Source organism: Homo sapiens, chromosome 6 (genome assembly GCF_000001405.40).
Source record: "Homo sapiens chromosome 6, GRCh38.p14 Primary Assembly".
NCBI classification, from domain to species: Eukaryota; Metazoa; Chordata; class Mammalia; order Primates; family Hominidae; genus Homo; species Homo sapiens.
In genome coordinates this window covers 12,604,728-12,627,066 of record NC_000006.12, presented here as the reverse complement: position 1 = coordinate 12,627,066, position 22,339 = coordinate 12,604,728, and the positions used below count along the sequence as shown (strand labels likewise).

Here is a 22,339-nt window from a genome sequence, read left to right as displayed (position 1 = left end):
AGAGGAATGGGTGGCTTTGAGGGCTTTGGCTCAAATAGCCTATCACAAATATAAGCTTTCTTTTCACAGTTTTGTGTTTTATCTTTAAAATTGTGGGGTACTTTGCCATCCCCACTTATAATGTAGCCATGCTTATTTTAGCATACAAATATTTAAAATGAGGTACCATTAATCTTTACATTCAAGAAGATGTACCGTGTTTATCCTGTGACTTTGCATACTCTGGCAGCCAAATGTACCACAGGATTAAAGATACCCTGATGTGAGAAGCTCAAGCATTGCTTCTTATTAAAATTCAGTATGGGGAAAATCACCAAAATAAAAAGACATGATGGTATGTTAATTTCAGTTGCTTCTTTTAAGAAGTTTTGATGGGTTAAATCAGGTAGGTGATGTAGACACAGTTTGCTTTGGAGGACAGGGAAGAAAGTGGAAGGTGGAGGTTGAGGAAGGTTAAGAAAACAGATGGGGTAAACTGGGGGCGTAAAACCAAATGCTGTCTTTTTACAGTTTTATCTAAAGCCAACCCTGAGTCTGTGTCCTTGGTAAGCATGACTCAAGAAAGAGCTACTTAAACACCTTGATTAAGGTAAAAATTGTTTGATTAATAAGTTTTTAGAAATGAAAAATTAAAATCATATCCTCAAGCATTAAACAAATTCTAATTCAAGATATATAGAAAATGTTCTAGCTAGCTGTAGTAACAAATATGAGAGGCAAGACTTGCAAGGATTTCCTTATTTATACTGTAAATATTCCCCTGACTTGAACTGGTTACTGGTTACCTGTTTGAAATAGTCATCATAGCAAAAACAAACAAACAAAAGATCAGGCTATTTATAATTCTACCATATAAAGGCTACTTTATTTTTTATTGTTGAAATTTCAACTTTTAGATTCGGGGGTACATGTGCAGGTTGGTTACATAAACTTTTGTGTGACGTTGAGGTTTGGGGCCTGCATGATCCCGTCGCCCAGGTAACAAGCAGAATACCCAACCTGAAGTTTTTCAGCCCCGTCCACCCCCTCCCTCCCTCACTCTTCCAGCGGTCCCCAGCGTCTGTTATTCCCGTCTTTATGTCCATGTGTACTCAATGTTTAGCTTGTACTTATAAGTGAGAACATGTGGTATTTGGTTTTCTGTTTCTGCATTAGTTCGCTTAGGATAATGGCCTCCAGCTGCATCCATGTCACTGCAAAGGACATGATTTCATTCTTTTTTATGGCTCTGTATATGGTTTCCATAGTGTATATGTACCACATTTTCTTTATTCCGTCCACTGTTGATGGGCATCTAAGTTGATTCTATGTCTTTTCTACTGTGAATATTGCTGCAAGGAACATAAGAGTACGTGTGTCTTTTTGGTAGAACAATTTATTTTCCCTTGGGTATACCCAGTAATGGGATGGCTGGGTTGAATGGTGGTTAAGTTCTTTGAGAACTCTCTGGACTGCTTTCCACAGTAGCTGGACTAATTTACATTCCCACCAACAACGTATAAGCGTCCCCTTTTCTCCACAACCTCACCGACATCTCTTATTTTTGACTTTTGAATAACAGTAAAGATGTTTTAAAAATTACAATTTCAGTATCACTTAGAAGCCTACAGAGAATTTTGTTACAATGAATTTGGAGGTTTTATTTCACTTGTTGGTACTCCAGGATGAGAATAACAAAACATTATTTTTTCTTCTTTTTTAAGCTTTATTGAGGTATAATTGACAAGTAAGAATGGTATATATGGCTGGGCGCAGTGGCTCACACCTGTAATCCCAGTACTTTGGGAGGCCGAGGTGGGCGGATCATGAAGTCAGGAGATCAAGACCATCCTGGCCAACATGGTGAAACCCCGTCTCTACTAAAAACACAAAAATTAGCTGGGTATGGTGGCGCACACTGTTATCCCAGCTACTTGGGAGGCTGAGGCAGGAGAATCGCTTGAACCCAGGAGGTGGAGGTTGCAGTGAGCTGAGATTGCACCACTGCACTCCAGCCTGGTGACAGAGCGAGACTTTGTCTCAGACAAACAAACGAACAAAAAAGAATGGTATATATTCGAGGTGTACAGCATGATTTTTAAGCGACACATTGTAATTGAACATATTTATGGGGTGTGCTTTGATGTTTTTATTCATATCTATGTTGTATAATGATCAAATCAGGGTAGTGTATCTATCACTTTATCCATTTATCATTTCTTTGTGGTGAGAATATTCAAGTCTCTCTTTTAGCTATTTTGTAATATACAATACTTTACCATTAACTGTAGTCATTCTACTGTGCATTAGAACACCAGAACTTATTCCTTTGGGCTAATCTTAATTTTGTATCCTTTGACCAAACTCTGTCTTCTCTTCCTGCCCCCACACACCCCAGCCTTTGGTAACCACTGTTCTACTCTCTGCTTCTATGTAACATGAGGTTTTGACATACATATTCATTGCAAAATGATTTCCATATGTTAATCAGTCAAGCTAATTAACATATCCATCGCCTCACATTGTTACTGATTTTGTGTGCGAATACTTAAAATCTACTCTCTTAGCAAATTTCAAGTATGCAATACGTTATTATTACTATAGTCACCATGCTGTACAGTAAGTCTCCAGAACTTATTCATCTTATAGCTGAGAGCCTGTACCTTTGACCAACATCTCCCCTTTTCCCCCAACCCTTAGTTCCTGGTCATCACTTTTCTACTCTCTGATTTTATGAGTTCAATGTTTTTCGATTTCACATATAAGTGAGATCATCAGTATTTTCTTTCTGCGTCTGGCTTGTTTCACTTAGCATAATGTCCTCCAGGCTCATCCAATTTGTCACAAATGACAGGATTTCCTTCTTTTTTACAGGTAGAATAATATCCCATTGTATGTGTGTGTATGTTTTATATATATATATATATATATATATATAAACACAAACTTGACTTTTGAATAACAGTAAAGATGTTTTAAAAATTACAATTTCAGTATCACTTAGAAGCCTACAGAAAACTTTGTTACAATGAATTTGGAGGTTTTATTTCACTTGTTGGTACTCCCGGATGAGAATAACAAAACATTATTTTTTCTTCTTTTTTAAGCTTTATTTATATATATATAAAAAACACACACACACATACATATATATATATAAAACACACACACCACATTTTCATTTCCATTCCTCTGATGATGAACACCTAGCAACAACCACAACAACAGTAACAGAGACAACCAGCACTTATGAAGCACATGCTACACTGGGCGCTGGAATATGTGCTTTTGGTTATTAACTCATTTAATACTTATATAACCCAATGAGGTAAATGATATTATTAACCTCATTTTGCAGATGAAGAAACTGAGGCATACGGAGAGTCAATAACTTGGCCAAGTTCACATACTTAGAGGGTGGGTTATTTACTAATTTTTTACCGTTCCAATGAATAACTTAGTAAAAATGTTCAGTCACAGAAATCAATTGATAAAGAATTGTTTTAATTCAAACTCTAATAGGTCGTTTGTACTTTTCATTCATTATATATATTTATTTCAGCATATATACACATATACTATGTATATATAAGTGCTAGTTTACACACACACACGTGCACACACATGCATACATGTGTATGTTAAAATACATATATAGATGTATATAACAGCTGTATATACATACCTCCCAAGTCCTGCTATGGGAGGATGCAATCTAAATTCGTAGCAAGTGACTTCATGGTGTCTACGTCTCCTTATTAAGGTCACAGCAGCAATTATTGTAGACACTGTCTTATGTATCTTCTTGCTTATAGCAGTTACTCTATTTTTATGCCAAGAATCACTATCACATTTTCCAAAATCAATTTAACACTCCTTTATCAAGAGCCCACCAGGTTTAAGGCACTGTCAGGCAGTTTCCTTTGAGCAAAGGGCTGTTTGCAATGCCTGAATCTGGGTGTATTGGATGGCTACCATTTAAGCAGAATACACCCAAGCACTGTGGGCTGTGTTAGCCATTGTCCATATGCAGGAGGCAAATTCATCCTCAAATTATTTCTTGGACAGTTTGCCTCTAGTAATTAAGAGGTTAAAATTTTCTCACATTTCCGTTGGAAAGTTTCTTTTTATTTGATTCTCCCAGGTGTGAAATAATTTAATACTAGTCTCTTTCTCCAAGCCTCTCTGCTGGGGTTCTGAGCTCAGTCAGATAATATTTGGAAAGCACTTTGTTCTCAGAAGAAAGGTCACACTTAGAAGGGTTGGTATCATCCACCTGACTGCACCAGGGGCAAATGTTGTCCCTAGCTAAGCTTCTGCCTTCAGATGCTGTATACCAAAAGCATATGTAATAAAGAGAAACTCACTTTTCAAGCTTGAGTACAAAAGAATAAAGCAACTCCTGTGCCTGAGGGAGTCTTGGAAGCCAGGTGAAATAAAGCAGAAAGCAGTGGTTAGTCTTGCAAATCAGTGGAAAAATCATCAGACCACAATATCCATGATAGCCCAGAACCTTGCACTGGGCTTAATCAGGCTCACAAACGACACTCAGTACTCTCTATATGCTGCCTTTGCAAATCGCTTTCTTTTTCTGCTTTCTTGAGCTGGAGATTAAAAGAATCAATAAGACAACTATTTGGTGGCACTTTGGATTTTAATGAACTACACAGTCACAAGGCAATTATATTGCTAAATCATTAATTGCCTTTGAGAGTTCAACAAATGTTTATCACATCTACTATATTTTGATCATTGTTAGTGGAGGAGGTTCTTGAATTACAGTAATGAAAAAGAAGTGACTGAGTTTATATATGAAATACATGAAAGTTAACTGAACCATTTAATGATTTCAATTTTCTTGTAGCCAACTAATATTAACTGCAGTGTGATAAAAGGTTTTTCAATTGACTATTGTTACAACTTAAAATCTATGCACAATACCTGGCGCAGTGTCTGGGACATAGAATGTGTTCAACAAATGTTATCTCCTTCATTTTTGATATTGTTTGGCTCAGTGTCCCCAGCCAAATCTCATCTCTTATAATCCCCATGTGTCAAAGGAGGGACCTGCAGTCCCTACGTGTCGAGGGAAGCAGGTGATTGGGTCATGGGGTGTTTTCCCCCATGCTTTTCTCCTGATAGTGAGTGAGTTCTCATGAGATCTGATGGTTTCATAAGTGTTCGGAAGTTCCTCCTTTTCTCTTCTCTCTCTTGCTGCCTTGTGAAGAAGTTGATTGCTTCCCCCTTTGACTTCTTTTTTTTTATTATTATACTTTAAGTTTTAGGGTACATGTGCACAACGTGCAGGTTAGTTACATATGTATACATGTGCCATGTTGGTGTGCTGCACCCAGTAACTCGTCATTTAACATTAGGTATATCTCCTAATGCTATCCCTCCCCACTCCCCCCGACAACAGGCCCCAGTGTGTGATGTTCCCCTTCCTGTGTCCATCATTCTCAGCAAACTATCACAAGGACAAAAACCAAACACCGCATGTTCTCACTTATAGGTGGGAATTGAACAATGAGAACACATGGAACCCCTTTGACTTCTGCCATGATTGTAAGTTTCCTGAGGCTTCCAAAGCCATCTGGAACTGTGAGTCAATTAAACTTCTTTCCTTTATAAATTACCCAGTGTCAGATATTTCTTTATAGCAGTTTGAAAACGGACTAATACAATTGTCTTCTAAAAAACTGGAAATTTTTGCAATTAACTCCCTGAGTGAATTTTACATTTTGGTATGTCATTCTATCTCTAGTGGCCAGTGCAATTTTCATCATCAAGTAGGTGGTCCATAATGTTTGCAGATGGAGTGAGCCTATCACAGTGTTAAACTGACATTCAGATTATTTCCTAGCAGAGTCTACAACAATGATCTAGTAAATAAGGTAAAGAGCAGGAAATAAAGAAAAATAGATTCAGTTTATTCCACTTCTGAGCCACCTTGCTATTTTTTTGGCCATTTATCTAGACTACTGGTAGTTATTTCATCTCATCATAGTAATTGATGATGTAACTCTAAATTTTCTTTACAATGAACACCAACAAAGGCATATTTTAACAGTTTTATTGAGATATAGGTAGTATGCCATTAAGTTCACACACGGTGTACAATTCAATGGCTTTTAGTATATTTATAGCATGTGAATCTATTGCCACGATCAGTTATAAAACATTTTCCTCAGCCCAAAAGGAAATCACACACCCTTTAGTTTTCACTTCCCCAGCACCTCCTCCCTCCACCCTGCCCATTTCCCCCAGCCAAAGGCATCTATGAATCTACTTTCTGCCTCTTAGAGTTACCTATTCTGGACATCTCATATAAATGAAATCATACAATCTATGGACTTGTGTGCCTGGCTTCTTTCACTTAGCACAATGTTTTCAACATTCATCCATGTGGTAGCATGTATCAGTACTTCGTTCCTTTTTCCTGCTGAATAATATTCCATTGTATATGCATAGCACATGCTGTTTATCCATCCATCAGTGGATGAACATTTGGGCTGTTTCCACTTTTTGGCTTTTATGAATAGTGCTGCTATAAACATTTGTGTAGAAGTTTGTTGTGGATTCATCTTTACTTTCTCACCTAGAACTAGAGGAGCCTATTTTTAAATATAAAAAATATATACTCCTCATATACATTTACTTATCAGAAGAAATGGTGGGAGAATCTTCAACGTAGTGGAAAGAGCATTGAATAGGAGTCTGTAGGAAGACCAGGGCACAGGGTATCCTCTCAGTTCTGGTACTAACCGAACATGTGACCTTGAGCAAGGGGCTTTACCTCTGCCTTCTTGTACATAAGGGAGTTGGGGCCCTCACTTGAAGGTCAGCCTGCAACCTGTGCATTCTGAGAATTTGGTGTAATATAGTGACTCAGAGTTAGTTCTAGTTAAAATTTAAGCCTAAATCCAAAAGCAATATGTCAATTAGGTCAAGGAAATGGACATACATCCAGTTTAAAAAAAAAAACCTGAAGATCCAATAACAAATAAAAATAACCCTCAGTTGACTTTAGGAATAATTAAAGGTTGCACCAGAAAGAAGGAAAAAGTGTATTCTCCATCCTTACATCAATGTCTATTCATAAAAAGAGAACATAGGCTTATTAGGTAGACTCTTTTATACTTTCTAAGAAATGCAAAGAGAAATTGGAGTTGCAAACCTACCTTTTTATAATCTAAGGAAAAGCTTTTACTAATTACCAAGAAGAAAAGGAATACTTTATGAAAACAGTTAAAGATGTAGTACTATTTCTAAAAGGGTACTCTATTCAAGAAAGTTCTTATGCTTTCATGAGAAAATGTTAAAAATTTTTAAATGTCCTTTGCAATTTATCTTTTGTATTTGTGAACACACACACACAGAACTTAAGTAGTCTGTTGTACCTACTGAAGAAAAAACTAGAAATAACAGTGAATATCTGGCATTTTTTTTTACATGTTAGGAGGTAAAAATCAATGCAAATGACATAAAAAATCATAAAATGAATAGAGTAATAAAAGGCTTTAAAAAATTCTGAAATCCAATTAATGTGATCAACATTAAAGGTTTTCCTTTAGCAATCAAAATCCAGTCCATTTAGATTTATTTGAGAAATGTCAACTCTCTCCCTAGTTAATGTTATTTAGGGAAAGAAAAACCATCCTGCCCTAGATTCCTGGTTTGGTATTAATTTATATTTCCTCATGATTTTATTAGCCAGTGGCCAAAGGAAAGTCGCATATATATATATATATTTGAGACAGAGTCTCACTATGCCACCCTGGCTGGAGTGCAGTGGTGTGATCTCGGCTCACCGCAACCTCCGCCTCCCAGGTTCAAGCAATTCTCCTCCCTCAGTTTCCAGAGTAGCTGAGATTACAGACACCTGCCCCCATGGCCGGCTAGGAAATTTGCGTATTTTATTACTGTTTTCTTCATCTAATGACTAGAAAGAATGATAATTTCATCTTTACTAGTTTCTTTTATTTATTATTATTAATTTTATTAGATAATATAAACGAAAATAGTGCAAAGTAACAAAAAAAGCCAGTCATCTACCCTATCCTCTCCCCAGAGGTAATCATTGTCAATTTTTTTGAGATTTCCTTTGGCATTTACCTTCGTATTCCTGAACGCCATTTTTATGCCATCATTTGTTTAAGCTCTGTTAGACATTGTCTGTGGATTTCCTACATGGTAGATGAAAACTTTTAACTTTCTTGTTTCCTTTCCTCTCCCTCCACCCTCAATAGAATCTTACCTCATTTTTAGTCTAATCTGAAACATTGAATTCAACCCATAAAAACTGAAAAATTATTTTAACTGTGTGTGTTAGGCAGCTTCTAAGATGGCTCCACTTATGTTCACCTCCAGGTTTACATGGCCTCGTGTAATCTCATCTCCTGGAGTAACTTGCTTCTAATCAATAAAAGAGGGCAATATCTCAAAGAATGCCGCATCTGTGATTATGTGACATAAGATTGTATACCTTCTGGCTTTCTAGCAGACTGGCTATATTGCTTTCTTGGCTTTGCTGAATCACACTGCCATATTGGAGAGGCCCACATGGCTAGGATTTGAAAGTGGCCTCTGGCCAACATCCATTGAGGGACTGGAGCTCTTTGTAACAGCCTGTGAGAAACCAAATGCTGCCAACAACTATTGAGTGAGCGTGGAAGCGCTTCCTTCCCCAGTCAATTGTTTAGCTGAGATGATAGTATTTGAGCTGACACCTTGACTGCAGCCCGTGAGAAACTTACGAAGCTTAAGATCCAGTTAAATCATGCTCCGATTCCATTAGGAACCAAATTAGGATAACTAAAAGTCTATGTAAATATTGTTTACTCTATCTTGTTGTATACTGTGATTATATTTCTTCTTGTATAACTTTTCTTTCTGTAATTAATAATTTTATTTTTCCATTTGCTTAGTTTTCTTTTTTAATTTCAATAATTTTTGGAGAACAGGTGGTTTTTAGTTACGTGGATGAGTTCTTTAGTAGTGAATTCTGAGATTTTAGTGCACCCATCACCTGAGCAGTGTACTCTTTAGCCAATATGTAGTCTTTTTTTTTTTTTTGAGACGGAGTCTCGCTCTGTTCCCCAGGCTGGAGTGCAGCGGCATGATCTTGGCTCACCACAACCTCCGCCTCCTGGTTTCAAGTGATTTGCCTGCCTCAGCCTCCCAAGTACCTGGGACTGCAGGCATGTGCCACCATGCCCAGCTAATTTTTGTATTTTTAGTGGAGATGGGGTTTCACTGTGTTAGGCTAGTCTCAAACTCCTGACCTCGTGATCCGCCTGCCTCGGCCTCCCAAAGTGCTGGGATTACAGGGCAATATGTCGTCTGTTATCCTTCACCTCTCTGCTCAGTTTTCTCTGACCTTGTAGTTTTGCCGTATTACCCACTAATTATGTTAAACACTTCTCAATAAAAATTTTTCATATAGTAAAGTCTATTTTGATAAGGAGCTCCACTTTCCTTTTCTCTGAAGACAACCACTCTTGTTGACTTCTGTTTAATTTTTCAATATGTATTTGTTTGTCTGTGGGCCTGTACATAACTCTTATACTGAGACATCTCTTTGCCATCTTTCTAAGACTTTTCTGCACCTCTTCCTTCCTGTTTTGGGTGCCCTATTTCTTGAATCCTGTGTTTACCTCCTTCTTCTCTTGTTTTTTTTTTTTTTTTTTTTTTTTTGAGACGGAGTCTCGCTCTGTCGCCCAGGCCGGACTGCGGACTGCAGTGGTGCGATCTCGGCTCACTGCAAGCTCCGCTTCCCGGGTTCACGCCATTCTCCTGCCTCAGCCTCCCGAGTAGCTGGGACTACAGGCGCCCGCCACCGCGCCCGGCTAATTTTTTGTATTTTTAGTAGAGACGGGGTTTCACCTTGTTAGCCAGGATGGTCTCGATCTCCTGACCTCGTGATTGGCCAGCCTCGGCCTCCCAAAGTGCTGGGATTACAGGCGTGAGCCACCGCGCCCGGCCTCTTCTCTTGTTTTGCTTGTTTTTGTTTCTTCTCTTTGTTATTGGCTTCCTAAGTAAGGACTGATGGAAGATCAATGTTTTGAAGCTTTGCATGTCTGACATTTTCTTTATTTTGTCCTCATACTTGGTTAATCATTTGGCCGGGTGGATACTTTTACTCAAAGTTTTGAGGACACCGATCTCTTGCTTCTAACTTCCAGTGCTGATGTTAAAACGGTCTTTACATCCCTACGTATAAATTTTTTCTTTCCTTTCTTTTTATTCTTCTCATCTCTGTTTATTCCCACTTCTGGGAGATTAGTTTAATTTTTCAACATTTTAATTGAATGTTTTATTTTGGCTTTAATACTTTTAATTTCCAAAAATCCTGTCTAGTTATTCTATTTGTATTGTGTCCTACTCTTGTTTCATGGATGCTTGTTTATATTTGACCAGGTGTGAGCACTAAAAGCCTCTCTGCAGAGACAGGGCTTACTGAGTGGAGGGCTGTGTCAAGTCATTAGTCACAGAACTAGCTGTTTGGTTGAGTGTGGCAAAAACTTCCAGCTGCTCACCAAAATCCATTCCCAGCCTCCTTGTAGTTAAGAATGCCTTTATGGGCCTGGCACGGTAGCTCACGCCTGTAATCTCAGCACTCTGGGAGGCCAAGGTGGGTGGATCACTTGAGATCAGGAGTTCGAGACCAGCCTGGCCAACATGGCGAAACCCTGTCTCTACTAAAAATACAAAAAAAAATTAGCCAAGCCTGGTGGCACATGCCTGTAATTCCAGCTACTCAGGAAGCTGAGGCAGGAGAATCACTTGAACCCAGGAGGCGGAGGTTGCAGTGAGCCGAGATCATGCCACTGCACTCCAGCCTGGGCGACAGAGTGAGACCTTGTCTCAAAAAAAAAAAAAAAAAAAAAAAAAAGAGTGCCTTTGTGACTGAGTTCTGTGCAATGGAATATTAGCAGAAGTGATTTTTGCCACTTCCAGACCTGGTCCATTAAAATACCCTAATCTACTCCTTTATGGCTGGAATAAAAAAGAGCTTCAGAAAATGACCTTAGAAATCATATGTCAAAGACAGTAGAGATTCTATCAGCTCAGGTGCCTGCAGGATGGCATGACTCTTACACAGCAAGAATTAAACATAAATGTGTTTGCACCATCAGGCTTTTTTTGAGTCTATTTGTGATGGCAGTTAACCATCTCTGATATGTTGAGTGAGGCCCCAAAATGTCAGTATCTGGGTTTCTTTTCTGGCTTGCTTCACTTTCTCCAGAGATGGATCCTCTCATCTCTCATCTGGAAGGATGTATAAGCCTGACTCCTGGCATTCTGTCAGTTGGGAATTGACAGAGGTAGGTATGTAGTATACAGACTTTTCTTCTGATTGCAGTGTAGTGATTTACTACCACCTTCCTCTGTGCTTGGTGTTTCTGAATATTGAGCCTCTTTAATTTTCTTTCCCTAAATAAATTACCTCTTATATTCAGTAGCAGAAGTGGAAGGAAAGTGGCCTGCTTGTTTGGAAAGGATGAAACACTGGTATCTAACTGCTTTTGAAACAGATTTCCAGTAAAACCGCTGTGTTTAGCCCTTCTCCCTGACCTTCACCTTTCAAAGTATCCAGTGCCTCCAATTCCTAAGCCTTTCCCTGGGTCTGTAAAGCAAATTTGCTTGTTGCTTGCTGGCATCACCTTCTGCAAAATTTAGATTTGACCTTTCACTCTCCTGTTAAGTTATACTATCCCAGCAACTGTTTTCTCTCTTCCTACTTTGTGGATGGCGATTGAAAATTTCATCAAAACAGGAGTTTGTGTTTCTTATTCTGGTTAATATGAAGTGGTTGTCAAGAGGAAAGACATAAAGAAATGTCTCTGCTTGACCATCCTAAAGCCAGAAGTCTCTTATAATTTTAATGAATCTAAATTAACTACCCAAAGAATTATTTTAAAAAGACAAAGAGATCCAAGGTGAGTTATTTCCAAATAAATTAACAGAATATTTTAAGTTATTTTTTATTTTATTTATTTATTTATTTATTTATTTATTTGAGACAGGGTCTTGCTCTGTTGCCCAGGCTGGAGAATGGTGTGATCTTGGCTCACTGCAGCCTCCACCTCCTGGGTTCAAGTGATTCTCCTGCCTCAGCCTCCCAAGTAGCTGGGATTACAGGTGCCCACCACCACGCCAGGCTAATTTTTGTATTTTTAGTAGAGATGGGGTTTCACCATGTTGGCCAGGCTGGTCTCAAACTCCTGAACTCAAGTGATCCACCCGCCTTGGCCTCCCAAAATGCTGGAATTACAGGTGTGAACCACCATGCCTAGCCTTTAAGTTCTTTCTGCTCATTTAACTGCTTAGTAGAACAATAAGTCAGATGTCGCAGAAAAGGAATGGAAACTGCATTCCATCACAAACTCAGAGTTCTCACAATCTTAACATGGACATTTTGCAATCTTGAGACTTGCTGTCTTGCAGTCTTGTGGTCTCAACGTCTCATCATTGCCTTGTCCCACTTCGTCATGGTCTTCAGTCTCACAGGCTCACGGTCTGTGGATGTGCCTAGTACTGTAGTCTCATGGTCTCACAGTGTCATGGTATTGCAGAGTCGAGGGCTTATTGTTTAAACAAATTTTGATTATGTTTTAGATTTACTCTGGAAATAATTTTCTGAATATAAAGCACCCTGTATTAATGGATGAGCCTTTTGGAGTTACTTGTATGTTTTGATTAGCAATTGAACATATATCTCTTTTTATCAGTAGCTAGGTCTTTGTTTTTATTTTTTCCAATATTGCCTGACATAATCTATCTCTTTGCCGTCAAAAAGAAATAGTCAAAGATTAGTGTAATATTTCTAAGAATAATACTTGTTATATTTCTGTATGTATGATTAATGGAAAGCAGCCCTCTTCTGGGCGCATTGACAACCGTAATAATATCAAACGCCCAAGAAAGAAACTACCAAACACAATTTAATTGCCTCTAACACCGCAGCTGAATTTGCGTGCCAATAATCTCTTTTGGAACTGTAGCTCTTTTTATAATAAAAAAGTACTTTAGCAATAACAAGTTTCAACAGAAGCAGGAGATACGTGGGAGGACGTTGAAAACAGGGACAGGCATAACATTTTATTGTAGGTGGTTTTTTTTTCCTTTCCCCCTACATGATGTCAGTTCTGTACGAACTGAATCCTAGCACAAGACTTTTTCTTTGGGGATTTTTGTATCTTTTAAAACCCACTTGATTGTTAATGTCAATTCCCTTTTTTGAAGAAAGAACAATTGTTAATAGTTTGGGATGCTTATTTGAAAATGTTCACATTCGCTGGGTTCAAATGGGGTCAGCTGAAACTGTATTCTTGACTTTGGCCAGAGATTGTCTCAAGCTGACTTGGTTCACCCTGCATCACAGATGATTTCCCAGAATTACAGAATTATTAATATCCTTTTCTGAAGAGCCCAGTGATGACCACAAATATTAGACATGAAAGGGGCTTGAGGGAGCAATTCTTTTTTTGCCTTTATGTACTGTAGAGAAGAAATGGGGTTCCCAGTCAATCTAGGAGTTTACTTATAGTCACGTAAGTAGTTAATGACAAAGGTAGGGCACTAACCTTCTGAACTGTATTCTTTGTCATCATATGCCTACATACATTCTTTTTTTGCCTTTATGTATTGTAGAGAAGAAATGGGGTTCCCAGTCAATCTAGGAGTTTATTTATAGTCATGTAAGTAGTTAATGACAAAGGTAGGGCACTAACCTTCTCAACTGTATTCTTTGTCATCATATACCTACATACAGGGTTGAAAGGGTGGGCTTTCCAATTGATTGTTTTTATGCACACACAGGTCACCAACAGCCCAGTGGGAGGAAGCTGTGCATGGCATTGTGTTGTCACTCATCCTTCTTTCCTTGGTCTTTCAAAACCTCTTGGTTAGATGTGTATAGTTATCCATGAGACAAATTCAAGAGCTTTTACTGAATGACATGAGAATTGATGAGTGAGCAGAGGATTTGGGAGCAAAGCCATCTCAGACAATGCCAATCGCCCACCCCCTCTCCCATGGGCTACAATTTACCTACGTTAAGCAGGAATCGAAAAGGTGAGAAATATTGTACCTTCCAGTTAATGCCTGAAGCTTGAATATCCACCGAATACATTCTATAATTAGATTAGCTACTTAAAGAAATTGAGATATAATTAACATAAAAAATATGCACATCTTAGTTGTTTTGATGAGTTTTTATATTATTTGTAAACATCTGTATTATGAAAAATTTTAAACAGAGAAAAATGGAAAGATTTGTACAGTGAACATTCACATCTGATCACCTAGATTCAGGGTTGGCTGAGATTCTTGAGTCTACAAATTTTGTGTTTCACCAAACATGGAAACATTTCAGCCATTATTTCTTCAAATATTTTTCTGGTTGTGGGGACGCTCATTCTCTCTTTCCTCTCATTCTTGAACTCTAAAGATCCTGTGTATGTTACGTCTTTTAATATTGCCCTGTAGGTCTCTAAGATTTTATTCATTATTTGCAATATTTTTTCCACTCTTTTTTCTTCAGATTAAATCATTACTGTTTTTCTGTTTTAAAAGTCAATAACTCTTTTCTTTTAAAATTTCCAATCTGCTATTAAGCCCATCCATTGAATTTGTATTTCAGGTATTTGATTTTTCAGATATAGAATTTCCACTTTGTTCTTTTTATCTAGTGTTGAATTCTTGGCTGCATTTATTATCTTTTTCTTCATTCTGACCACTGTCCTTTACATCCTATAGCATAGTTGTAATAGGTGCTTTAAATTCCTTGCCTGCTGGTTCCAATATCTGGAACACCTCAGGGTCAGGCTCCATTGATTGCCTTTTCTCTTGAGTATGGGTAATGCTTTCCTCTTTCTTTATTGAATAATTTTGGATTATATTCTGGGCAAATGATATGTTGTAGAGACATGCTAGCAGGCAGATGTCTAGACTCAAACTGCAAACCCTGTGCCCTGCAGCTGAAGGCAGCTAAAAGTTTAGCTGTTTCTTTGGCCTCAGCTAGATGGCTGGAAGTCCGCAGGTGTGGTCTGGGGGCTAAGAAACAGTTTGAGCAGAGTATACACATAGTATTTGAGGCTCCCTGTGTCTGTCTGTCTTTTCTGGGGGATGATTTCCTCATTTCTAGCTGTAGAAGTCAACCCAACTTCTGATATCGTGTTCTCCAAGCCAGTAAGGCAGCACACGTCCAAGCTGTAGCTGCTCTGCTTGGTATATAGACTGTGGTATGCCCTCAGGCTAAAGCCATACAAATACCAAATTCTCTCACTTGTATTCTGTCTATCCAAACAATACTCGCCTTCCAGTATTTGTCTGATTTCCTCACTCTCTAGGAGTTTCAGATAGTTTTTTTTTTTTTAACATTTTCCCCAGAGTTTATAGTTATTATTAGAGGGTAGAATAACCTGGTAGGAGCTACTTGGCTATTAGCAGAAGTGGAGCCCTTTCAGTCATTGAGACTTAACATTCGTATACACCCTTGTAACCTCCATCCAAAGCAAGATAAGAGCATCTCCATCCCCCCTAAAAATCTCTCTGTGCTTCTTTCCAGCCACGTTCTCAACACTAGCTGATTTTTAGAACCATACATTTGTTTTGTCTGAATTTGGATTTCACAGAAGTGGAGTCATACCCTCTAGCCTTTTGTACCCGGCTTCTCCCATTCAGCGTGATGCTTTTGAGATGCATCCAGGTGGTCATGTGTGTCAGCAGTGCTTTTCTTTTTATTACTAAAGAGTGTTCCATTATGGGAAAATACCACAATGTGTGTACTATTTTCCTGTTAAGGGACACTGGAGCTACTTTTAGTTTGGGACTATTATAAATAAAACTGCTATGAATATGCTTGTACAAGTCAATTTCTTGTTGTGGACATGGATTATCATTCCTCTTTTGTAAATAGGTAGGAGAGGAATTGCTGGAAGTCAAATAGTTCTCCATAGTGGTTTACTGTATGACATCACCACCAGCAAGGTCCAAGAGCTCCAGATGCTGCATGTCCTTGCTGACACTTGGTGTTGTCATTGCTTTCAATTTTTGCCGTTCTAGTGAGTATAAATGGTATTTTATTTATTTTAAATTGCATTTTACTGGCCGGGCACGCCGGCTCACTCCTGTAATCCCAGCACTTTGGAAGGCTGAGGTGGGTGGATTGCTTGAGCCCAGGAGTTCGAGACCAGCCTGGGTAACATAGCAAAACCCAGTCTCTGCAAAAAATACAAAAATTAGCTGGGCATGGTGGTGTGCACCTGCAGTCCCAGCTACTTGGGAGGCTGAGATGGGAGGATTGCTTGAGCCAGGGAGGTCAAGGCTTCAGTGAGCTGAGATTGCACCACTGTACTCCAGCCTAGGAGAGAGAGCAAGGCCCTGTCTCAATAAATAAATAAATTGCATTTTGTGGATGACTAATGATGCTGAAAACTCTTTCATGTGGTTATTGGCTACTTGTATATCTTCTTGTGGAATGTGTCTATTCAAAACTTTTGCTAATATTTATTGCACTTTTAAAGTTGGAGACTTGTAGCGATTTTTAAATATGCTCTGGGTATGTGTCCATCTTCGGATATGTATTACGAACATTTTCTCTGATTCTCTGGTATGTCTATTTATTTTCTTAATGGACTCTTTTGATAATCAGACATTTTTAGTTTTGATAAAGTCTAATTTATCAACTTTTTTCTTTTGGGGGTGCTTTTACTGTGCAGTTGAAGAAATCTTTGCCTATCTAAGATTTACTTCTAATCAAACCATAGTAAATACTGGTAGGTTTCTGAAATATTTTTTCTCTCTTTGAAGCTTTGAAACTTTGTATGTATTCTCTTTATCCAGCATAAAATGCTTTTTGAGGTAAAATAAAATATTTTCTGCAGCTTGTTTGGGCTCTGGGCAAGATAGCTGAAAAGTTAATAATATTTATACAGTGACTTACATGAAAAGATGCTTTATAGATGTTTGCAAAAGTAAATCAACTTACAGATCCGGTAGGAAACTTTGTTCAGTAGATTTGAAATTTCTGATTTATTGTTGCAAATCTATGAGGTGATGTGCTTGGAACAAGCCCCGGAGCACTGATCTGTGCAGCTGCTATGCCAAGGCATGGAGGGCTTAGCGCTGAATCTTACAGATGCACCAATTCTGCCAAAACATATGGGAGGAACTCACTTCAGCTCTTGCTTAAAAGATAACAACACTTTTGGATCAATGGCAATAATGCCAAATTAACACAAAAATCCTTAATTGTGTGTTTCTGATGAATGATTAGTCTCCTAATTCAAAAAGGCAGTGAAACAACCTCCAATTAAAAGTAATGTACTTTACTTAGATTGAATAATAGACAGCATTCTCAATATTCCAACTTGGCATGTAGCAAAGGGGTGATGGAAATTCGTATTTGCCAAGACTGCATGGCAGTTCAGAAAGTTGATTTTAAGCAGGATGATTTCAGAATAATACTTTCCCCATGAGCACTACTTTTTACAGAACCTCTTATGAAAGGGCCTTTCAAAAACATATCTGAGATGAGACAGACTATGGTAGAGTGACTTCAGTTTAGGACAGCTCTACCTTCACAAAGACTTAACAAAGCTCAACTCCTGTAACGCCCTTTATAATGTTTAAAGATGTGCTGTAGGTACTTTTTTGCATATTATCTCTAGTTCCTCACACAATACAATTAGGTATTGTATTGCAAATGAGATTTTATACTCATTTTACAATGAAGAAGTTCAGACTCATTAAAAAATTGTAGAAACCATCCACCTGGTAAGTAGACTTTGGAGGATTCAAACCTAGGTTTGTTTATCAGCAAAGCCTGAGTTCCCCCAACCACCCCCGCCCCCCGGCACAGCACACTGCTTCCCTGGTTCAAGGGCACCATAAAACTTACTACAGTGGAAGGAAATTCCAGAGTTTAAGCTATTGTCAAGGTAAGTCATATATGTGGTCTTCCATTGGTCATCTTGACAAGCTGTGAACAGCTTCATAGATATTTCCTGTTGTTTCTCTATGGTAAACCTTGACTGGCAGGTTTATAATTAGTCTTTCTGTCCAACCCCATTTCTCTTCTCCAGTGAAAGGTTTAGCTATGACACTAAGTCCCTTTTCAGTGAAACAAGGAATATGGTCACTTCTAGTTTGATTTATGCAGGACAATCGGAAAGATTGGGCAAAAGCTGGCTTTGGCTTTCTTTGTTTAGGCTATCTTTGGTTGAGAAAGTGGAAGGGAAAGTTCAAAGATCCAGAAATGGTAAGAAGAAACAAGAAAGCCATCAAGTTTGGTTTATTTTCTCAAGTTGATTATTTATGGCTAGTAGTCCACAGATGAAGAATTTTAATGATCGAAACCTAGAAATATGTGTTGTGCTATTTTGAGCCTGTTTCTTTAAAATGTAAGACTGCTAGAGGTATGAAGAGAAACTTTTGTTGTTTAAAAATAGCATTCGATATTGACAATCTTTTCAAAGTTGCTCATAATCACCATTTAACTGAGTGGATTTTATTTCTGGATACCAAAAGATATGATGATGCTTTTGTTTCTTTTTTTGTTCCTCTTTTTGCAGATAAAGCACACCCTGTCTACATGCACTTTCATTATGCTCTGTTGCAGGAAATTAGCTAACATTTGTGGAATGTGTCATCTTTTACTGCTCAAGGGTTTTGTTTTTCATCCTTTTACAGAAAGGATTGTTCTTAGCACCTTACCAAGAGCGCATCAATATAGTCACGCCACAACTGATGGGTATTGTCTGTTATTTTCATAAAACAGTGTGCAAAAGGCTTCTCAGCCTTCTTTACATAATACAGCGAGTGTCAATAAACAGAGTTTTGTTTTTTTTTTTCCAACAAGCATAGACATTTTATTGGCCAGGTGCGGTGATTCATGCCTGTAATCCAAGTGTTTTGACAGGAGGATGGTTTGAGGCCAGGAGTTTGAGACCAGCCTGGGCAACATAATGAGACTCATCTCTATGGAAAAAAAAAGTAAAAAGTAAAAAATTAGCTGGGTGTGTCTCACGTGCCTGTGACCCAAACTACTCGGGAGGCTGAGGCAGACAGCTTGAGCCCAGGAGTTTGAGGTTACAGTGAGCTATGATTGTGCCACTGTACTCCAGTCTGGATGATGGAGTGAGACTCTGTCTCTAAAAAACAAAAAATAGACATTTTATTATCATCAGGCTTACTATGAAGACTAACAATTGGTAACTGAAGTTCTGCACTGAAAATTTATATTTTAAGATGGTTTTTTTCACAAAAGGAGCTTTTCTTTGTCTAATATTTAAGTCAAGATTCTTGTTCCTGGCTTCAGTATCTCTGCAGTATGTTCATATATTTATTCCTCTGTGTGTGTGTCTCTGTGTGTGTGTGTGTGTGTGTACATATGCATATACACATATATACTCATACCTGCATGCAGGTTCCATTGCTGTTTATCATGTAGGAATTTTTTTCTCATCAGTGACATAGGTTTAGTGACCCATCTTCATTAACTATATCACGAACATTCAGGGACACAACAAAACTAACACTATCAGAATAAATTATTCATCCAAAATCCAGTTTTCCTTCTGGTAACCAAGTACTTAATGATCAGAACAGAGAAAGGCTAAACTTAATAAATGAGACTATTTAAATGAAAATATTCAGGATTGTAAAGGTAAAGATAAATGTTATGTTTGCTGTATTTACAGCTCCTTTGTATGATGCTGTAGCATTTAAAGCCCAATATCCATGTAGGAAATGATGAAGAAGATTGGCAATCAATTGGGAAATTGAATGGGGATGGGTAAACTTTACAGCTGTGGGTTTTAACCAAACCCAATGGTTGTTTTACTACCAGAAGAGTGATTCTGTGGCATATATTTCTTGCAGAAAAGAAAGAGGAGGGATAAACATGTGAGTGCATGTGTCTGCGTATGACAGGGACAGAGAATAAGGAAGCATAAGAATTTTGAGATAATCAGTAGGGAGGGAAAGGGAGAGATGAGCAGGGAGGGAGATGTTAGACTGGCTGTCACAGTGAGGCTGATATTTTTAATTTCTCTTTTTTATTCCCTGTGCTCATTTTGGCTCCAAGTCGCTGAGGCCGTTTCTTCATGAGTTTTAGTATTCTAGTCTAGTGAGACACACAGGGAGACGAGCAAACAAGACTTCAGTGTGAGCCCATCGATTGCTGAAGGGACCCTCGTCTGGCAACATCATTCCTGCATTTTGAGGTCAGCAGTTCTCAGGAAGCTAGGCTGGCTCAGTGCTTGGGATCTGCAGTGGAAGCTGACGCTCCCCACCAATCATCCAGTGAGCACAGGCAATTCTATCTTCCCACTGCTCTAATGATAATGCATTCCTTCCCTTTGAAACACTTAATTTTCAGATTTTGATAACTTCTGCCCACCTTAACTCCTATCAATCAGACTTTATGTAACAGCACTGTGTTTGGTTCCTGAAATGAAATATATTCTTCAGAACAGCTATAAGTGGAACAGGCTCAGAAAGAAGAGTGGATGTCAAATACTGTTTGTCATATCCTAGTAAGAAGTAGACTTTCATATGTAACACATGATCCCAGTGTAGCTTGATATAAATGGAAGATTTAAGTGAAAGAGGTCTATAATTTTGTTGGCAAAATAAAGAGAAATTTCCCTTATGCTAAGACCAAGTAGCCAAAAGTATCTCTGAAAATGGTAGACCTAATTCAATGAAAATCCCTCTGAAATTCTACCAGAGCTTTCGTGATTGTGTTAGTGAAACTCATCAGGTAAGGCTGGAGCTATGAGGATTCTCATCATTAACTTAATGGGGTTTGAGACTCAGATGCTTGAAAATGTGTAAGGTGGTTTGCTGATTTAATGTGAAACCGGAACTGTTGCCACCAGCCGCTCCTACCCACCCCATGTCCTGCCATTCCCATTGTAAGACATGTGTTAATGAGAACTGAATATCATGTGATGGCATCATTGGATCAGTTTGGGAGCCATTATCATACCACCCATGTGTGCTTGCTTTTGCCGTTATGTATTTTCTGGTGAGCAGTTGGAGTTCTTCCTTCAGTTACGAAGTGTGAGTTAATAGATGACACTCTATCCTAGACACTAGGTGGCGGCAGACTGCTGAGATAAACCATTACCCAAGGGACCGAGAGGCTCAAACCTGTTCCCCAATACTCAAAAGGCAGATGAAAATGGCAGGTGGATAAAACTGAATGGTATGAAACAACACACGCAAGATTGCAAATTTTCAAAGGCATGAATCACTATTGCATCCCCCAAAATCGTGTGAAGCTGCTTAAAGCTAACTTTACTTTCTTTAAAACGTCCTGGAGCAGTTATCACCCAATGGCCCTAATACCGTATCCAGTTTTGTTACATCTCTGAAGTCAAAGGTAGACACCCAGATATCATAGCTTCTCTCATTTATCATGAAGGGTTAACTCTAAATCTGTATTTTCAACCAATCTCTTTTTTTTGTTTTAAACATGTTTATAGTTGTTTTAAGTGGTAATATTTAAGTTCAAATAATTAATAGCAATATTTATTAATACTATCAGCCCAATGCTTGAGTAAAAATGCTGAAAAAAGTATAAGATGTTCAACTGTGTGCAAAGCACCACTGAATGTTTTCTAAGAATATTAATTTCTTATGAAAGACTAATAATAGATTGTCAATATAGTTTTAAATATTAAATATAGAACCAAATAAGATTTGACAATGAGAATTTAAAGACCATCATACTGTATTGGTGCACATGACATTCTAATTTTCAGTTTTTTTCCTATAAATGTTTCCTGTAATATGTCTTTGTGAATTGTTTTTTCCACTCAGTTTTAACTCCTAATCAGACCCAGCCCCACCTTGGAGAAGTCAACATCTTTAAGATGTGGAACATTTTAAGATTTATTTAAACTGATGACCAGCTAAAGATAAATAAGATAAATCATAAATATAATAAAAATAAAGAAGAATAAGAAAGCAAATAAAGAAATAAATAATTTTAAAAGAATAAAAACAAATTTAAAAATAAGTTTTAAAAACAGGACACTTTATATACTCTCAACTGGCTATTTCTGTACTCCCAGGGCATAAGCTGAACATAAATGACACTAAATAGGAACCCTAAAAAGAAGTGGAACAGAATTCCCAATGATGAAACCTGGTGCTTCAGGAAAATTCCAGTGTTAGAAGACATTGTGTTTGGAATGAATCCCCCTACACGCTATTACCAAATAAAGTTGTGCCAGGGCAGAATTTGAAGTTTTGTGAATTTGTTTTTAGGTTTTTAAATTGATTTAGGCTTCAGGAATTTCTAAATTTCTGCCAAGTCTAAATAGCTCTTTGTGGTAAGGCT

At 38.0% G+C, this 22,339-nt stretch overlaps 2 annotated features.

Moving 5' to 3' along the window:
• Window positions 18,458-18,577: an enhancer, noted in NCBI's record as "active region_24019". NCBI's record gives its function as "activates an Ori minimal core promoter by ATAC-STARR-seq in GM12878 lymphoblastoid cells {active_cell/tissue: GM12878}" and the evidence as "EXISTENCE:reporter gene assay evidence [ECO:0000049][PMID:35858748]".
• Window positions 20,976-21,270: a silencer, noted in NCBI's record as "tiled region #7011; HepG2 Repressive non-DNase unmatched - State 12:CtcfO, and K562 Repressive DNase unmatched - State 12:CtcfO". NCBI's record gives its function as "represses a minimal TATA promoter and a strong SV40 promoter by Sharpr-MPRA in HepG2 and K562 cells {active_cell/tissue: HepG2 | K562}" and the evidence as "EXISTENCE:reporter gene assay evidence [ECO:0000049][PMID:27701403]".